Source organism: Homo sapiens, chromosome 8 (genome assembly GCF_000001405.40).
Source record: "Homo sapiens chromosome 8, GRCh38.p14 Primary Assembly".
Taxonomy (NCBI): domain Eukaryota; kingdom Metazoa; phylum Chordata; class Mammalia; order Primates; family Hominidae; genus Homo; species Homo sapiens.
In genome coordinates this window covers 72,028,667-72,045,791 of record NC_000008.11, presented here as the reverse complement: position 1 = coordinate 72,045,791, position 17,125 = coordinate 72,028,667, and the positions used below count along the sequence as shown (strand labels likewise).

At 35.3% G+C, this 17,125-nt stretch overlaps 1 protein-coding gene and 1 long non-coding RNA gene across 5 annotated transcripts in view, besides 1 other annotated feature; one reads left to right on the top strand and one right to left on the bottom strand.

The window, feature by feature from the left end:
- MSC-AS1 (MSC antisense RNA 1) overlaps positions 1 to 17,125 on the bottom strand; it is a 213,190-nt gene that overhangs the window by 10,521 nt on the left and 185,544 nt on the right. The window lies entirely within an intron of this gene.
- Positions 1 to 17,125, top strand: part of TRPA1 (transient receptor potential cation channel subfamily A member 1) — a 68,761-nt gene that overhangs the window by 44,219 nt on the left and 7,417 nt on the right. For all 3 annotated transcript variants that reach the window (XM_011517625.3, XM_011517624.3, NM_007332.3), the window contains 7 exons: positions 5,995 to 6,065; positions 6,765 to 6,927; positions 7,720 to 7,809; positions 9,335 to 9,504; positions 11,415 to 11,544; positions 11,966 to 12,148; positions 15,823 to 15,891. In XM_011517625.3, coding sequence (XP_011515927.1) covers positions 5,995 to 6,065; positions 6,765 to 6,927; positions 7,720 to 7,809; positions 9,335 to 9,504; positions 11,415 to 11,544; positions 11,966 to 12,148; positions 15,823 to 15,891 — 876 coding nt within the window. The remainder of the gene's footprint in view (positions 1 to 5,994; positions 6,066 to 6,764; positions 6,928 to 7,719; positions 7,810 to 9,334; positions 9,505 to 11,414; positions 11,545 to 11,965; positions 12,149 to 15,822; positions 15,892 to 17,125) is intronic.
- Positions 11,168 to 12,367: an enhancer, noted in NCBI's record as "BRD4-independent group 4 enhancer chr8:72945660-72946859 (GRCh37/hg19 assembly coordinates)". NCBI's record gives its function as "activates an origin of replication core promoter dependent on BRD2, P300/CBP, MED14 and CDK7 cofactors, and independent of BRD4, by STARR-seq in HCT116 cells {active_cell/tissue: HCT116}" and the evidence as "EXISTENCE:reporter gene assay evidence [ECO:0000049][PMID:35650434]".

The window sequence follows — 17,125 nt, the reverse complement described above, 5'->3', positions numbered from 1 at the left end:
CAAAGGTCTCAAACTGAAATAACTACAGAGAAAACAGTAACAGCCAAGTAACTTAGGCTTCTGGTTAAAAGGACAGTGGCTACTAGCTTCAACAAATCATTGCCATGTGGCAATAGCAGCCCACAATTGTGTAAATATTGGCAACAAATTAAAATTGTGTGCATGTAAAACAAAACATATTTGAGGACTGGAGTTGCAAATTTTGGTCTAGATTTGGGCTATCTAGTATGGGAACCAATAGTTGCATGTGGCTTCCTAACTTAAAAACTAGTTTAAATTAAATAAAGTTAAAAATTTGTTTTCCAGTAACACTAGCCACATTTTAAATGCTCAGTAGCCCATTTGGCTTGCAGCTCTCATATTGCACTGCACAGGTAGAAAACATTTTCGTCATTGCAGAAAGTTCTATTAGACGACACTGCTCTAGGCCAATGAAGAATTTTTATTCACCTTCAATGAGTTCATTTCCCTAAATTGAAGACTTTGGTACAGACCATGGTAGCAGCCGTCACCCAAGTTAAACCTACAAGGCTTACTGAGCACTTGGAGTATGGAGAATGCAGACTCGTGGGGATTTTATGCCTTTAACACTGGTGATGGCAACTGACTAACCATTGCTGTAAGCGCTTTAGCTCTCCTTGAGTATGTTGTGTTTTGCTATTAGTATAGTTCATAATCAATAGCCCAGTGATCTAACAGTAACTACACTACAGTTATACTTAGAAAATTTGTTGCATATGTATGTGTTTTTTAATTCTAATTTTAAAAATAGGCAATACTTCTATCAGAAAAAAATGTATCTATTTTTGTCTCCATTATCAGAATAAGAATAGGAAGAAATAAGATCTATGTAGCATCTAAAAAGAAAGACAATATATAACAATGGGCAAAGTATAATTTAAATAAAATAGGTTCACTTAGATAAATGCAATGTACTAGATATCAAAACAGCACCTGATTCTGCAATGCCTTAATAGCTTATGAAACCTTCCTTTAGTTGTAAGTGAGCTGAGTGGGGCTCTTTAGGAAGGTAACTGGCCTGATGAGAAATTACTGTGCACAGAAAATTTGAAAGTCTAGATGCACCAAATAGAGAACATAAGAAATCAGACACTGAGATTAAGACAAACTGGAGCCAGTGAGAGGCTATTTTCATTAATGGTGCATGCAAGAGTAGAGCTACTGTGGAAAATCCATTAGCATAGCTACAAATGCATTGGATACTTTGTCTTATTTACACTTTATTTGGGTGATATTTAAACTTAACAATGTACTTGCATGCCTCAAGGGGTAGGTTTTCTGTATTTGTTATTAGTTTAAAAGCAGAGTTACAAGATTTCAGAAACGTAAGAGGATTGTTTTAATGAAAGCACATTGAAAACAAGTATCTGTGTGTGTTTCTAGTATGGTGTTTTAAAAATATTAATAGTAACATTCTGAATTACTCTCACAAATATTTTTCCATATTTTTTATTTTAGCTTGAAGAAACCATTAATTTTAAATGGAAAAAAAGTCAAATCTACGTGGAAGTTTAGATGAGGTCTCAAAAACAATAGCTAGATCTTGCCAGTTTTTTTTTTTTTCCCAAGAATAGCTAGATATATAGCTTTTCGGGCTCCACTGGGCATCCAATTGATAATGAATATTTGCAAGGGGTTCTTTTATTCCCCCCAGACTATTGTATATAAATATATCTCAATTACTTTTCAAATGGTTGGGGTAAAAATAAATAGAAAAGAAAAATGGTGAACCTGGAAATATTCCATTGTTGGTGTCACAGTAGTAGTTTTTAAACTGGAATCTCTGGCTGCTTGAATCAGAATTATTGTGGTTCTTGTTAAAATGAAGGTTCCTAAGGCCCATCTTAGACCTACTAACCCAGAATGCTTGAGGGTAGACCTAATAATCAAAATTTTAAATAAGCTTCTAAAAGATTTTTATGAATACTAAAATTGAAAAAATGTAATAGAGTGCTGATGAAAATTATAGTATAGGCTTTTTCAAAATGTAAGTGGGTGTTTAGTGCAAAAACCTATAAGTTGTTTGGTGAATAATTTTGGAAAGTACAATCAAATCAAAGTTAATACAAGGAAGCTAAAAACAGAAATTCCAACTTCTATCTAACAGTTATTTCCGAAAGATGGACATTTTTAAAAAGAGATGGAAAGATAGGGAGAAAATTGAAAGGATAATGTCTGAGAATTTTCTAGAAATGAAATCTGTAACTCATCAAATTAAAATTAAAAACTTCCCCAAGGGCTAAGAAGACCATTCTGGCTGCATCATTTTTAATTATAAAATGTGAAACAATAATAATATTTATAAATAAGGGAAGGTCTTAATAAACTACTATATCCAAATGATGAAATATTAAGCAATATTTAAAAACAATGTTCTTGATGAATCTTTATATAACATTCATATGTTTCTAGGCTGTGTTGAATAAATAAGCAAATTGAAGACATAATTTGAGTAAAAACGTAAATACAAAATAATTATCCCTTTTTCTATAACTACGTTTGAGTTTTTGAACATGGGTGTTTCTGTGTAGAAATATAGAAAAGGATTTGGAAGGATGTACAAGTAAGCAATGATGATACTATTGAGGAAATGGAGGCCTGCCTAGAACTGAGGCTTAGGTGTGGTGAGAACTATGGCCTTATCCCGATGTTCCAGTATTTTAAAGGAGAATTTGTCTGGGTATTTCTTCTTTTTTACTTGTGGTAAAAAGCATAAAGTTAAATTTACTGTCTTAACTCTTTTTAAATGCATAGTTCAGTAGTGTCAAGTATTTTCACATTGTTACTCAAGAGATGTCTAAAATTATTTCATGTTGCAAAACTGAAACTCTATACTTATTAAACAGTAACTTCCATCATCTTTCCCCCAGCCCTTGGCAACCACCCTTCTACTTTTTGTTTCTGTGATTTTTCTCCACCTTAGGTACTTCATATAAAGTGGAATCTTACAGTATTTGTACTTTTGTGACTGGCTTATTTCAGTTACTATAATCTCCTTAAGGTTCATCCATGTTAGAGCATGTGACAAGACTTCCTTCTTTTGAAGGCTGAATAATATTCCATTGTATGTATATACCATATTTTCCTTATCTGTTTGTCTGTTGAAGACACTGGGTTGCTTTCCCTTTTTGGCTATTGTGAATAATGCTATAGCATTATTATACAAATATCTCTTTGAGATCCTGCTTTAAACTCTTCATATACACATTTAGAAGTAGGCTTGCTGGATCCTGTGGTGATTCTATTTTTAATTTCTTGAGGAACCCCAATACTGTTTTCCATAATGACTGTTCCATTTTACATTCCCACCAATAGTGCACAAAGATTCCAGTTTCTCAGCATGCTCACCAATACTTGTTATTTTTTGTTCTTTTGATAGTGGCCAACCTAACGGATGCGAAGTGGTATCTCGTTGTGGTTTTAAACTGCATTTCCCTAATAATGAATGATGTTGAGCATCTTCTCATTCAATAGTCATAAACAATAGTGCTTATTGACTATTCATGTATCTTCTTTGGAGAAATGCCTATTCACAGCCTTGACCCATTTGTCAATTGGGTTATTTATTGTCTTGTTGAGTTGTAGGAGTTCCTCAAATATTCTGGATATTAACTCCTTATAAGATATATGATTTACAAATATTTATTCTCATTCCATAGGTTGCCTTTTCACTTTGGTCATTGCTTCCTTTGACTTGAAGAAATTTTTAACTTTATATAGTCCTGTTTGTCTGCTTTTGCTTTAGTTGCCTGTCCTGTTGGTGTCATAGTCGATAAATCATCTCTCCTTTTTCCTTAATTAGTCAGTAAAATTTTGTTAATTTTGTTTATCTTTTCAAAAAACCAATTCTTGGTTTCATTGATTTTTTTCTATTGTTTTTCTATTCTCTATTACATTTATCTCTGCTCTAATCATTATTATTTTCTTCATTTTGCTAATCTTAGGTTTAGTCTGTTCTTCTTTCTTTATTTCCTTGAGTTTTAAGTTAAATTATGGATTTAAAATCTTTCTTCTTTTATAACATAAGTATTTACCATTATAAACTTGCCTCTTAGTATTGCTTTAGTTGTACCTCATGCATTTTGGTATATTATGTTTTCATTTCATTTGTTTCCAGATGTACTTTAAATTTCTGTTTTATTTTGTCTTTGACCTATTTGCTGTTTAAGAGTGAGTTGTTAAGCTTCCACAGGTTTTTCGATTTTCATATTTTCCTTCTACTTTTGATTTCTAGTTTTATTCCACTGTAGTGAGGAAGATATTTTATATGACTTCAATCTTTTGAAATGTTTTAATACTTCATGGCCTAATATGTGGTCTATCTTAGAGAATGTTCTATGTGTGCTTGAGAAGAATATCTATTCTTCTGTTGCATCATAGGGTGAACTGTTCTGTGTATGTCTGTTAGGTAAAGTGATCTATGCTGTGGTTCACGTCTTCTGTTTCCTTATTGAACTTCTGTCTGGTTGTTCTATCCATAACTGAAAGTCAGATAGTGAAGTCGCCTACCATTATTGTGTTGCTGTTTATTTCTCCCTTCAGTTCTAAGTTTGCTCCATATTTTTGGGAGCTCTAATGTGAGGTGGGTATATATTTATGATTGTTGTATCTTCCTGGTGAGTTGACGTTGTTATCATTATATATTGTCCTTTGTTTCTTCTCACAGTTTTTGTCTTAAAGTCTATTTTGTCTGATGTAAATATGGCTGTTTCTTTTCACTTCAGGTTCTCATTTGCATGGAATATCTTTTTCCATCCGTTCAATTTCAGCCTGTGTTCTTATATCTAAAGTGAGTCTCTTGTAAAGAGCATGTAGTTGAATCCTGGGTTTTATCCATTCAATCAACCGTTGTATTTTAATAGGAGAGATTAACCAGTTTGCCTTTAAAATAATTATTGACAGGAAAGGACTTACTATTGCCATTTTGTTAATTGCTTTCAGTATGTGGTAGACTTTTTGTCTCTTTTTCCCTGTGTCTTTGATGCTGTAGCAAGTCATGATACTGGGACACTGCCTAGGATCTGTCTGTTGACACTCTATCTTCTCTGGTGCTAGACTAAGACCCAGTGATCTACTTTGTTATCAGTGGTCCCCTCCTGAGACCCATTCATGTCAGAGCTTAGATTCAGGCAAGATAAAAATCATTCCCTTGGGCAGCCCCTTAGAAGTCAGAAGTTAGTGGATATGTTCCACTCTTTTCTTTCTCTTTCCAGGGAGAAGGCAGGAGTTGGGAGTTTTCTCCCAATGGCACTGTGCTTTGCCAGACGGAGGATCTGTGGCATGTAAAGGCCATGCATTTTCCTACTGTCTTTGATATGGTTGATTTTGGCTACATGCTCACCTTGGGTACAGAAACACGTTAACTAAGTTTGGGATTGCTCACAAAGAAAATGTTCTGTGTATTGTTTTCAATTCCATATCTCTATGGAGGAAGGAGGGCCTGGGACTTCCTATTTTGCTCCCTTGTTGGCATCAGTCCCTCTATTTATGTATGTCTTGAATAATTAAAAACTAATTTTTAAATAAATACTAGTAGTCACAAATAACTCTAATGAAAACTTATGATCTAGATTAATTGAACAACTATGTATGTATATTCTACTGCATAAAATCCTTCTGGAAAGATAAGCCTGAATTTCTTCAAGGACACAATGAGGGTATAACTCTTGCTAATTTATCTTTAATGTCCTTTCCTGTTGTAATCCTGTATAAGATTAAAAAGCTTATGCTAGGTTAAGTAGTCAGAAATCTAAAGAAACAGACTGAATCAAACAATTTTACCTGTACAAAATGGTTATCTCTAATTTGTGTTTTTTAAAACCTTGATCTAATTTTTATTTTTTTCAATGTTCTAAAATAGGTGTTACTTTTACAATACCAAACACAGTTATAAAACCAGACAATAAATAGATTAGTTTATACTCAGTAGTTGATTATGATTGTGTTTTTATTACACTTTTTTTTATTTCTCAGGCAATGGTACAAAATAACCGCATAGAGCTTCTCAATCATCCTGTGTGTAAAGAATATTTACTCATGAAATGGTGGGTATTGAGTAGTATTTCTTGTTTAATGCTGTGTCTATTGGATCTATTACAAAGCCTTCAAAACAATTATATTGTAATGGTATTTTAATGTTTTAGCTTTTGTTATTTTAATGTTTTTACTTTGAAGAAATAAGTAAGGCAAATGCCCTAGAACTTAAAGTATAATAATAATAAAATAAAGTGAAAAAGACCAAATAAAAAGAAGTTAAGGTTAAAAAAAATGCTGGCATTGTTTATCCTTATCATTAAATAAAATATTTGCAGGGTGGGAGGGAATTATTATATAAGACATGAAGAAGCTCTTTAGAGCCTAAAATTTATCTTTAACATTAAATGAAATATTTGGGGGCATGGAAAGGATCATTGTATAGAACATGTAGAAATATCCTGGACCCTGAAATTTAGCTGACAATGAAGAAAGAGGTGTGTTCTAGGAAGAGCACTCATATTGCCGACAGATTATATGGGCTAACATCCTGGCTCTTTCATTAATTTGTTAAGTCGTAATTTGCTTAGAACTTGAGGTTCCTTCTCTGAAAATGAAAAAGGTGAATTAGAAGATTTACTTGATCTTAAGCTTCAGTGAATTTACCAACAAGGTTTCTGAAAGAGGTTATAACCATTTTTTCCCCAGGTATCTTAAGTAAATATTTTTGTTTGAAATGACTCAATTCTGGTTTGCTTATATTTTTGTAGGTTGGCTTATGGATTTAGAGCTCATATGATGAATTTAGGATCTTACTGTCTTGGTCTCATACCTATGACCATTCTCGTTGTCAATATAAAACCAGGAATGGCTTTCAACTCAACTGGCATCATCAATGAAACTAGTGATCATTCAGAAATACTAGATACCACGGTAATTTCAAATTTTAACTTTCTAAAATAAAGGATTATAAAAAATGTATTTTTTCTTAAGACTACTAAACCCATAATAAATCTGACATATCAGGACTTTATTATAAATAGCCTGTAAGAATTTGTATACAGTAATAATTTCTCCTAAAATCCTTTGTGGAAGGAGAGGGAATATAAACAAACAGGTCAACTAATGAGTTTGTAAACTAATTTAAAAAGAATTGACATGTGTTAGATGCTAGCTTAAATACTGAAGTGTAAAACTTTAAAATAGGTGTACAAGAAAGCAGATTTGTAGTTGCCAGGGACTGTGGGACATGGGAAATGGGGAGAGATGCTTTATGGATATGTGGTTTCCATCCAAGATGATGAAAAAGTTATGGAACTAGATAACGGTGATGGTGGTATAACACTGTGAATATACTTAATGCCACTGAATTATATATTTTAAAATGTACATGTAAAATGTAACTTTTAAAATGGTAAGTTTTGTTATATGTATTTTGCCACAATAAATAATTTTATATTGGCCTACAGATTCATATTCTTTTTTAATTCAATTAGCAATTTTTGAACTTCACTTAATAAGGACATTCCTAAATGAGGGTGTGTTCATCTCTAGTAAATTATATGAGTATTGGTGTCAGTTAAATTTTCTGTTTAACTCAAAGTGGACAGTATATAGAAATTAAGCAAAAAAAAAAGAAAAAAGAAATTTAATAGTGAAAATTATGGAAATGTTAAAGTGTTTTATATCTCTCATAACTATGTGTCTTATCCTTTTTTGTTTTAGAATTCATATCTAATAAAAACTTGTATGATTTTAGTGTTTTTATCAAGTATATTTGGGTATTGCAAAGAAGCGGGGCAAATTTTCCAACAGGTATGTAATACATTTTGTATCTCTAAAGTTGCACATATTTTCATATGCAGAACATAAGTTAATTGATAAGCTATTACTTGAGATATTATGTCATAATAAAATTACATAGCTTGACTACCATATAGATTAGAAACACCAAGCATAAATGTTTCAAAATGTAGAAATCACATGATTTTAGGTAAGGTCCCTGCCTATTTGATATATCTATGAAAGAGATGTTCCACTTTTACTGGTCCTTAAACATCTAACTACAAATGGTCATTATGAGTGAACTTTCTTTTCTCTTACATAGTTTTAAAGATTTTGCTAACATAATGGTTACATTTTGAACTTGATAATTTTAAATGTAAATGTTTATAAAGAAGTTATCTGGCCCAAGACTCCATTTCAAATGGGTCTTTCTTTGAATTCCTTTTCTAACAGAAATACTTTTTTGATTAAATAAAATTCCAAGTTTTAATACAATTTTGGAACTTTTTACAGCAAAATTTTTACTTTATATTCCACTTTTTAAATAAGTGAGCCAAGTTCAGATCAGAACCAAGTGTATAAATTATCTGCAGGTCCTACCTTTGGTTGATAAATGGCAAAAGTTGATCCTTCTTTTCTCAGTATGGAGGTTGAAAGTCTTTATAATTTTTTTGTATATGTTCATGAATATTATTTTTATAAATCATATGTCTTTTATACAACACCTCACTTTCTGTGAAAATTTTCTTTGTTGCATCACGTAAGCACATAGATATTTGCATTTATAAATTTGATAATAATGGTTTGCATTTTTTAAATATTATACATTGCAAGTACTTTCATATAGGTACATTAAGAAATTTGTCACAATTCTGATAGACTGTAATGTTGCATTTTACCTTAAACGATTTAAGGCACATTACTTAATCTTTCTTGCCATTATTTTCATTTTCCAGAAATGAAAATTGCAGATTATAGTTTAAATTGAGCTATAAAGTTATATGAATTCTCTATCAGATTTGATCTCCACATTTTCTTATTGATATTTAAGTGGCCTACTCTATAGGAAATTTAATGACCAATACATAAAAAGTTTGAAAATACCATTATTATTTGTTTTTATTTCCTAATTAAGTCTCAGTGCATGTCCCAAACCTTTTTAGAAACAACTTTAGTTCATAAAGAGAGCTCCACATTCATGTTGTTATACGGATAGAAAGGCCCCAGGAATTACTGAACCAACTTGCAGTCCCCAAGAAGTTTTCTTAAGATGGAGTGGACTCCACAGGGAAAGCCCAGCAATTTGTAGGATTTCCTTAGGCGTCGGATTCCCATAACACCAGGTTAACAGAGGGCTCTGGGCCATCTCCAACACCGATTCATACCCCGGGGACTCTGAAGTCAATCCAGGATGGCGTGAGGTTACTCCTTGGTCCTAAACTTCTCCCCAGCTGGCTGCAAAGCTAGAAAAATTGTATTACGGGGTGCATGTATATAACCATCCATAGATGCTAGGTCTCTATATGTGGTAATTTTTTATTCTTTTCTATCCCAGAAAAGGAATTATTTTATGGATATAAGCAATGTTCTTGAATGGATTATCTACACGACGGGCATCATTTTTGTGCTGCCCTTGTTTGTTGAAATACCAGCTCATCTGCAGTGGCAATGTGGAGCAATTGCTGTTTACTTCTATTGGATGAATTTCTTATTGTATCTTCAAAGGTAAAACAAGCTTGAATTATTTCCACATCCTTTAAGCATTTTTAATATCAAAAGAAAAACTATTGTACCTGGTGTAAATTTAAAACTGGCTTATTCCTTTTCCAGTTGTTTCAAAATATGAAGAATTTTTGTATACCCTATTAAGGAAAGGCTGGAGCATGGTTCCAGAGTTCAGAATGAAGATCAGGGTTTCTCACACTTGGCACTATTGAACTTTGTAGCCAGATAATTCTTTTTTCTTCTTCTTCTTCTTCTTCTTTTTTTTTTTTTTTTTTTTTTTTTGTGGAGGGGGACTGTCTTGTATATCGTAAATTGCTTAGCAGCATTCCTGGCTCCTGGCTTCTACCCACTAGATACCAGTAGCATCCACCCCAGTCCAGTTATGACAACCAAAAATGAATGCAGACAATGCCAGATGTTCCCTGTGTGCCAAATGAGCCCAGGTCAAGAACACTGGTCTAGACAAATCTGGACTAAACAGGGGGAGTAAATATTAAAAGTATTGGCTATTCTTGTTTTACCTGATATTATTTTGTAAGCATTTACTTTGAATTAAAACACTCAAAATGAACTGATGGATAGTATGGGGAATTGAAGTGGTATAAAAGAAAAAATAAGCCCAAAGAATCTAATTCTAGACAGGGAAAAAAGCCTGAGTTCCCGGGCCTCTGACAGTTGGTAATGTTGAGTTTCATGTTATTTCACATAATCTTTCCAATAACAAGGCCAATGTTATTATCTGCATTCTCTAAAAGAAGAAGCTGAAGCACTGATTTCAGTAACTTGCTGAAGATCTCAGCTAGTCAGTCAGGATACAGGTATTTACCCAAAGTCTTTCTGACTCCAGGAAGCATGTTTTTTTCACCATATATCTTCTGCATTGCTGTGTCATAAGCACAGTGATAGAGTTGAGTGCCGCCCCTTGGAGAGTACGTGGTATGGTGAGAAAGGCAGTGGCCCAGAAATAGGATTTAAGACAGGTTCAGGCACTGTCACACCCTTGGCTCTGTCATTATTAGTGGCCTTGCTGAGTCACTATATATGTCTCTGTGAATTTCGCTGAAGTCCCTTTCAGCTTTAGAATCTTGTAAGTTCCTCATTTAATAAGTCATCTTTGTCAAAGGCAGACTACAAGTTAGAGGCCAGATGACACACCCATTATCTATCCAAACATTTCACAATATAGGATGCAGGGGGTAGAAAAGAAAACCGAAGGAGATGGTGAGGATAAAATGCAAATCATGTAGTGTGTGCCCTGCATTAGGTGACTTCCAGTTCACAAACTCAGTCTCTGCATGATGCAGCACACAATTTATCTCTCTAATTTCTTTATTAAGCATTTGGCAGCATTTTCTTTGATATTGAGAAGCTATTATTTTTCTCTCCTACTTCAGTTGAAGTAATGTCCAGTTGTCAAGTGGTAAAATGATTTAAGGTAACATTAGGGCCGGGCACAGTGACTCACGCCTACAATCCTAGCACTTTGGGAAGCCGAGGCAGGCTGATGCTTGAGCCCAGCAGTTCACGATCAGCCTGGGGGTGATGCCTGCCTGTGGTCCCGGCTACTCGGGAAGCTGAGGCAGAAGGATCACCTGAGCCTGGGACGTCAAGGCTGCAGTGAGCAATGATTGCCCCACTGCACTCCAGCTTGGGTGACAAAGCAAGACCCTGTATCCAAAAAATAGATAACATTAATAATGAGAATAAAAGCAAAAGTAATTTGACTAACAGCTTGAAAATTAAGACATGATTATTCAATTAATTCTTATGTTTTCTTTTTCAAAATAACTGGCCTCAGTGATCTCATCTGTGAAATCTAATACCTGGTTTAATACATGATAAATATTGTCACTGAATGAATACACTTTGACTATAAAAGTGAGTAAATTTTTTTTTTTTTACTTTTCTAGATTTGAAAATTGTGGAATTTTTATTGTTATGTTGGAGGTAATTTTGAAAACTTTGTTGAGGTCTACAGTTGTATTTATCTTCCTTCTTCTGGCTTTTGGACTCAGCTTTTACATCCTCCTGAATTTACAGGTAAGACAGTTACATCAGTAGTTGATTTTGTCGCTGTGAATTATGGAAATATATATTTATATTTAAATCTAAATAGTCTAGAAAATGCATAATTACATAACAACAGTATTCAAATACTTTAGTTTTTATCTCCTATATCTTTCAAATGACGTTTATTGCAGAAAAAAGTATAGTCGTGTTAAGCAACTTTGTCCATTGTCAAAAAGTTTATGTACAACACAGATGATTTATTATTTATGCAGATAACATATTTTTGATGACTTTACCATGTTTACTATATTTTATCACTGCATTTCAACAGCTATATGCCTATGACTTTAAAAAAGTATTCTGAATATAGTTTTTATCATTCTACCTCCAGGAAACACTTTTTCATTGTAGAAACTTTGCATTTCATTTGTACCTCACCGTCTGCTTTCAGGATCCCTTCAGCTCTCCATTGCTTTCTATAATCCAGACCTTCAGCATGATGCTAGGAGATATCAATTATCGAGAGTCCTTCCTAGAACCATATCTGAGAAATGAATTGGCACATCCAGTTCTGTCCTTTGCACAACTTGTTTCCTTCACAATATTTGTCCCAATTGTCCTCATGAATTTACTTGTAAGTAGTTTTTTCTTATATTTTCTGTTTGTTGATCATTTGAAACATTTTATAATGATAATCATTTTTAACTTCTTTAATCTTCCTCCACTGGGGAGATCAGGAAGGATCTACTACAAAATCTATTCGTTCAACACTCACTTGGTGCCTGGGGAGCACCAGGCACATCAAGAGGCTCAGGGCGTGCAAAGATGCATGCACTTGGCAAATACCAAGGATCTACCAAATGCCAGCAACTGTTACAAGTTCTAGGAACCAGTGATGAAGAAAGCAGACCAATATTCAGTCTCAGTGTGATTACAAACAGTCAGGAATTTAGGTAATAAATAACTGTGTAGCATAATGTCATGGGGTTGATAAATGCTATGAAGAAATAAGAAGCAGGGAAAGGCAATAAAGATGAAGGTGTGTGATGTTTTGGAGTTGGAGAGGGGGTCAGAGTTTAGGCAGAGACCTTTATGGAACATATCTCTATGCTCGAACTTACCATTGACCAGAGATTCAAGTGGGGAAGTCTCTCATGCAGAGGGCATCTGCGACGTTCAGATGCCGCCTTGAACCCAGTCAAAGCCTAGACACTATCAGCAGACATTAGAGTGCCCTTCCACATGGAATTCTCTACAGAATCTGCTCAAGGCATGAGCACGTTGGCTGATGCAGGCAAAGGTGCATCCCATTCCAGGTCCATGGGGAGCCCTTATTGGCATCGTTGTGCCTGTTTTTCCTTTATCCATTTATGCACGCATGCACATATTCCACACAATTTCTCTGAGTCTGACTATGTACCAGAGACTGTACTAGGCAGTGCTTTTGGAAAGGAAAAAAAATTATGCAGATGTGTGAGTATTTTGATTCAATTATTTGATACATCTCCAGAGTTTTATTTTGGTGACCTAGAAAAAGAAAGGATGGCAATAGGAATAACGGAGAATGACATAAAGCCCACATTGTTCTCCAATAATTGTTTATGCTTTGGAAGATAATTATCCAGAAGAGAATTGGGCTTAGCAGTAGTACAGGTTGGCCCCATTCTGAAGATCCAAACATCCAGCGCCCGCTGTGCATCTCTACCTGGATATCCTGGAGGAAAATCAAAACCAACAGAGCCAAGACTAATGTTATCTTTCCTTCAGAATCTCCACTGCCTCTCAGTAGAATCTCCTAGTCATCCTACTAAGATCATTGGCAGATAGTCTCTATTTCACTCTCCCACGTTTTTCCTCAGTTCTTTCAATAATTCTTTGGCTGTCACATCTGCTTCCGGTTGGCTTGGACTGCCATAGTTCCTCATCCAAATTGCTGCAGCAGCCTCAAGAGCATCTCTATCGTATCACACTGCTTTGTCTAATTTTTCCTACAAATGGCCACCATAGTGATGCTCTGCTAATGAAAAACTGAACACATCAGTGGCTTTTAAAAATATTTTCCATGCCTCTTCAAAAGCTTTAATTCAGTCCAAACCCATCAGCATAGCAAGCAAAGGTCCCTGTGAGCTGGATCTTACCAAGATCTTTCCCAACGCCTCACTGTTCCCAGGATTTACCCAGAAATGCACACTCCATGATTGTGCCACACTTTCCTTCATGCTGCCTAGACTCTGTACAGGCTCTTCCTTTTGCCTGAAAAACGTCCCACCATGGGTTAGCTCTAAGATTTCAAAACTCAGCTGAAGTATCATTTCTTCAGGTCAGACTTCCTTAACCACCACCCCTCTCCAATTAACTAACTCTATTGGATGTTCTTTCCTTGTGTTACCATAGTTTTGAGGATACAAACATTTAATAATAATAAAACCTACTTCCTAGATTATTGTATAGATTAAATGAGCTAATACAAGGGACTTAAAATAGTACTTGGCACATGATAAGCATTTGATAAATGTTAGTGACCATCAAAAGTTAATAATTCATCTCTTCTATGGCTTATAAGCTCAAATGTCTTCAGAGCCCAAAAATGTATCTAAAATATGTGAAGCAGCAGGTATGAAATGGTTAGTTTTGGGGTTAGTTTTTGTTGTTTGTTTGTTTTTTGTTTTTTTGTTTTTTTTTTGTTTTTTTGTTTTTTTTGAGATAGGATCTCATTCTGTGACCCAGGCTAGAGTGCAGTGGAGTGATCATGGCTCACTGCAGCCTCCACTTCCCAGTCTCAGCTGATCCTCCCACCTCAGCCTACCCAGAAGCTGTAACTACAGGTGCTCACCACCACACCCAGCTAATTTTTGTATTTCTGTAGAGATGGGGTTTTGCCATTTTGCCCAGGCTGGTCTGGAACTCCTAGGCTCAAGTGATCCTCCCACCTCAGCCTCCCCAATTTCTGGGATTACAGATGTAAAATGCTGCGCCTGGCAGAGATGGTTGGTTTTGATGGGGGTCAATGTAAATTGGAGAGAACACCCATCTGAACACTTGCAAATTAAAAACCAAAACAATATTATCCTGTCCAGTGAAACCTATTTCCTGACTATATCCAGTTCTCAGTGCTAGTTTTCAAGCCCTAGAATATATTCTCCCTGTCTTCATTCATTCTGTGACTGTTTTGTTTACCTATTATGTACCCTGCTCTATACTAAGCACTGGGCATACAGTGGAGACCTTGACAGATCCCTTGTCTCATAGAGCTTACTGGACTTTGAGCTCCCCAAGAGCAGTCACTGACTTTTCTTTCTGGTGCAGCATGCAAGATGCTGGCTCAGCAAAGGCAGGAACTAAGTACCAGAAAATAAATGGATGAGTGAAATGAGCTAATTTCATCAGACTGAGTAGAACTGAGCTAACAGCTTCCCCCCAGCTAATTCTATCTAGCCATAAATTTCTGGTTTCTCACCAGAGCCTCTCCTGCCCCTATAGTATATGTTTTCCTTCTGAACATATGTAAGATATAAAATGTATCATTCTCTCAGTTTAGTATTTGTTTCCATGTTGTTAAATCACTCTTGTCTACCTTAGTTACTAAACTCCTGGAGTTTCCCACCATGTTGTGTGGCCACACCCAATTGCATGTGATATCACATCATCCCTCTCATTTAAAAAAAACAGATTTTTATCTTAAATGAAATGAATTTTGGATTAATTTGTATGTCTTAAGTTTTCATAACACTTAAGAGTACTGAACCTCTGAATGTGGCCATCATCGTTGCAGAGGTATATAGGCCTTGTAGTTTTCTGTAAGGTGTATTACCAAAGTATTCTGCAGCTACTACTAGTAGATTATATGCCCAGTCTCCCACTTTAGCCACAGAGGCCTTGCTATGATTTCAATTTTTATGTCCCATCCAAAATGTATGTATAGAAACCTAATCACCAAGAAGATGGCATTAGAAGGTGGGGCCTTTGGGAGGTGATTAGGCCATGAGGGGAGAGCCCTCATGAATGGAATTAGTTCCCTTATAAAAGAGCTATGAGGGAGCTTATTAGCTCCTTTGCCTTTCTGCCATATGGGAACACATAGAAGGTGCCACCTATGAGGAATGGGTTCTTACCAGAAACCAGTTCTGCCCGAGTCTTTATTTTGGACTTCCCAGCCTGCAGAACCATAAGCAATTAACTTATGCTATTTATACACTACCCAGACTAAAATATTTTGTCACAGCAGTCTGAATGGACTAAGACAGACCTTACATGCATTTTTAGGTGGACCATTCAACTGTAGTGATTTAATTTTGTGTCATACTTCAGATTGGTTTGGCAGTTGGCGACATTGCTGAGGTCCAGAAACATGCATCATTGAAGAGGATAGCTATGCAGGTAAGTGCAGTGCCTCCCCACTTATTACAGTGTTATCTTCTGGTAAACCCACAATAAGTTAAAAATATTACAAGTCAAAAATGGGCATTTTGTAGGAATATGCCAGTTATAAATTTATACTACTTACACTGTAAAGTATGTGCCATTTACCCTCCTGATCATGTGGCTGACTGGGTTCTGTTCCTCGCTGCCACTGCCCGGCATCCCAGGAGAATACCACATACTGCTAGCCCAGAACAGATCAAAGTTTAAAATTTGAAGTACAGATTCTACTGAATATGCATCACTTTCACACATCATAAAGTCAAAAATCATGAGTCAAACCAACCTAAGTTAGGTATTGTCTGCATCACGTTTATTTAAACTTACTGGAATTAACACCATTATCGTTACTTCCTTTTTTAAGAGCACAGTTACTTAGCATGGATACCTTCTTAATCCTGAGGAGTCACATCCTGTGTCTGTTTGCATGTTACCTGGTATACCTGCTCTAATCAAAGTTGATACAAAAAAATGTCCGAGAACAATCTTAGAGAAATTGAGAAATTGCCTGAGCATCTTTTGTTATGTTAAAATGTGGCCACCCAGGTAGCTAGCTGCTTGATCAAGAGCATCACTGGCATCCTAGCCCCGCTGTTCAAAGGAGCTCCTTATATTTTGTGCAGGGAATCACAGGGTCCCCACAGCATGATTTATGTTGAAGTTTTAACTGCATCCATGAGGTTTTGTTCTCTTGTGACATCTCTCTCATTTTTATAGACAATTTGATGTAAAATTTGGTGTCAAAGTTTCCTGGCTAGGTATTTGGCTATTGAATCTTGTGAGGTGCCTTCCTGTCATACAACACAAAGTTATTTTTATGCTCTTCACTGGATTGTCTTTAAATTTCAAATTCACATGGGCACTTTTGATGCTTCGAGGATATTTGGTGACCAGTTGACTATACGCATTCAGAAACTTTGGCCAGTTTGAGAGAGAGAAAAATCATGTTATGATATAACTTTCTATTCACTCTTGTCTCCTCTTCACTTTTATTTGTCCAAATTCTTTCTTCTCTGTTATTCATTCAGCCACACACTAACATTTATTTATTGAAAACAATGTTTCAATACATAGTATGTACAAAGTCCAGTACAACTTATCATGAGAGCCCAGAGGAAACAGAGGGATGTGATCCCTGACTATTAAGTCAACTATGCCTACTTAGCACACCAGCTAGGTATTCATAGAATTA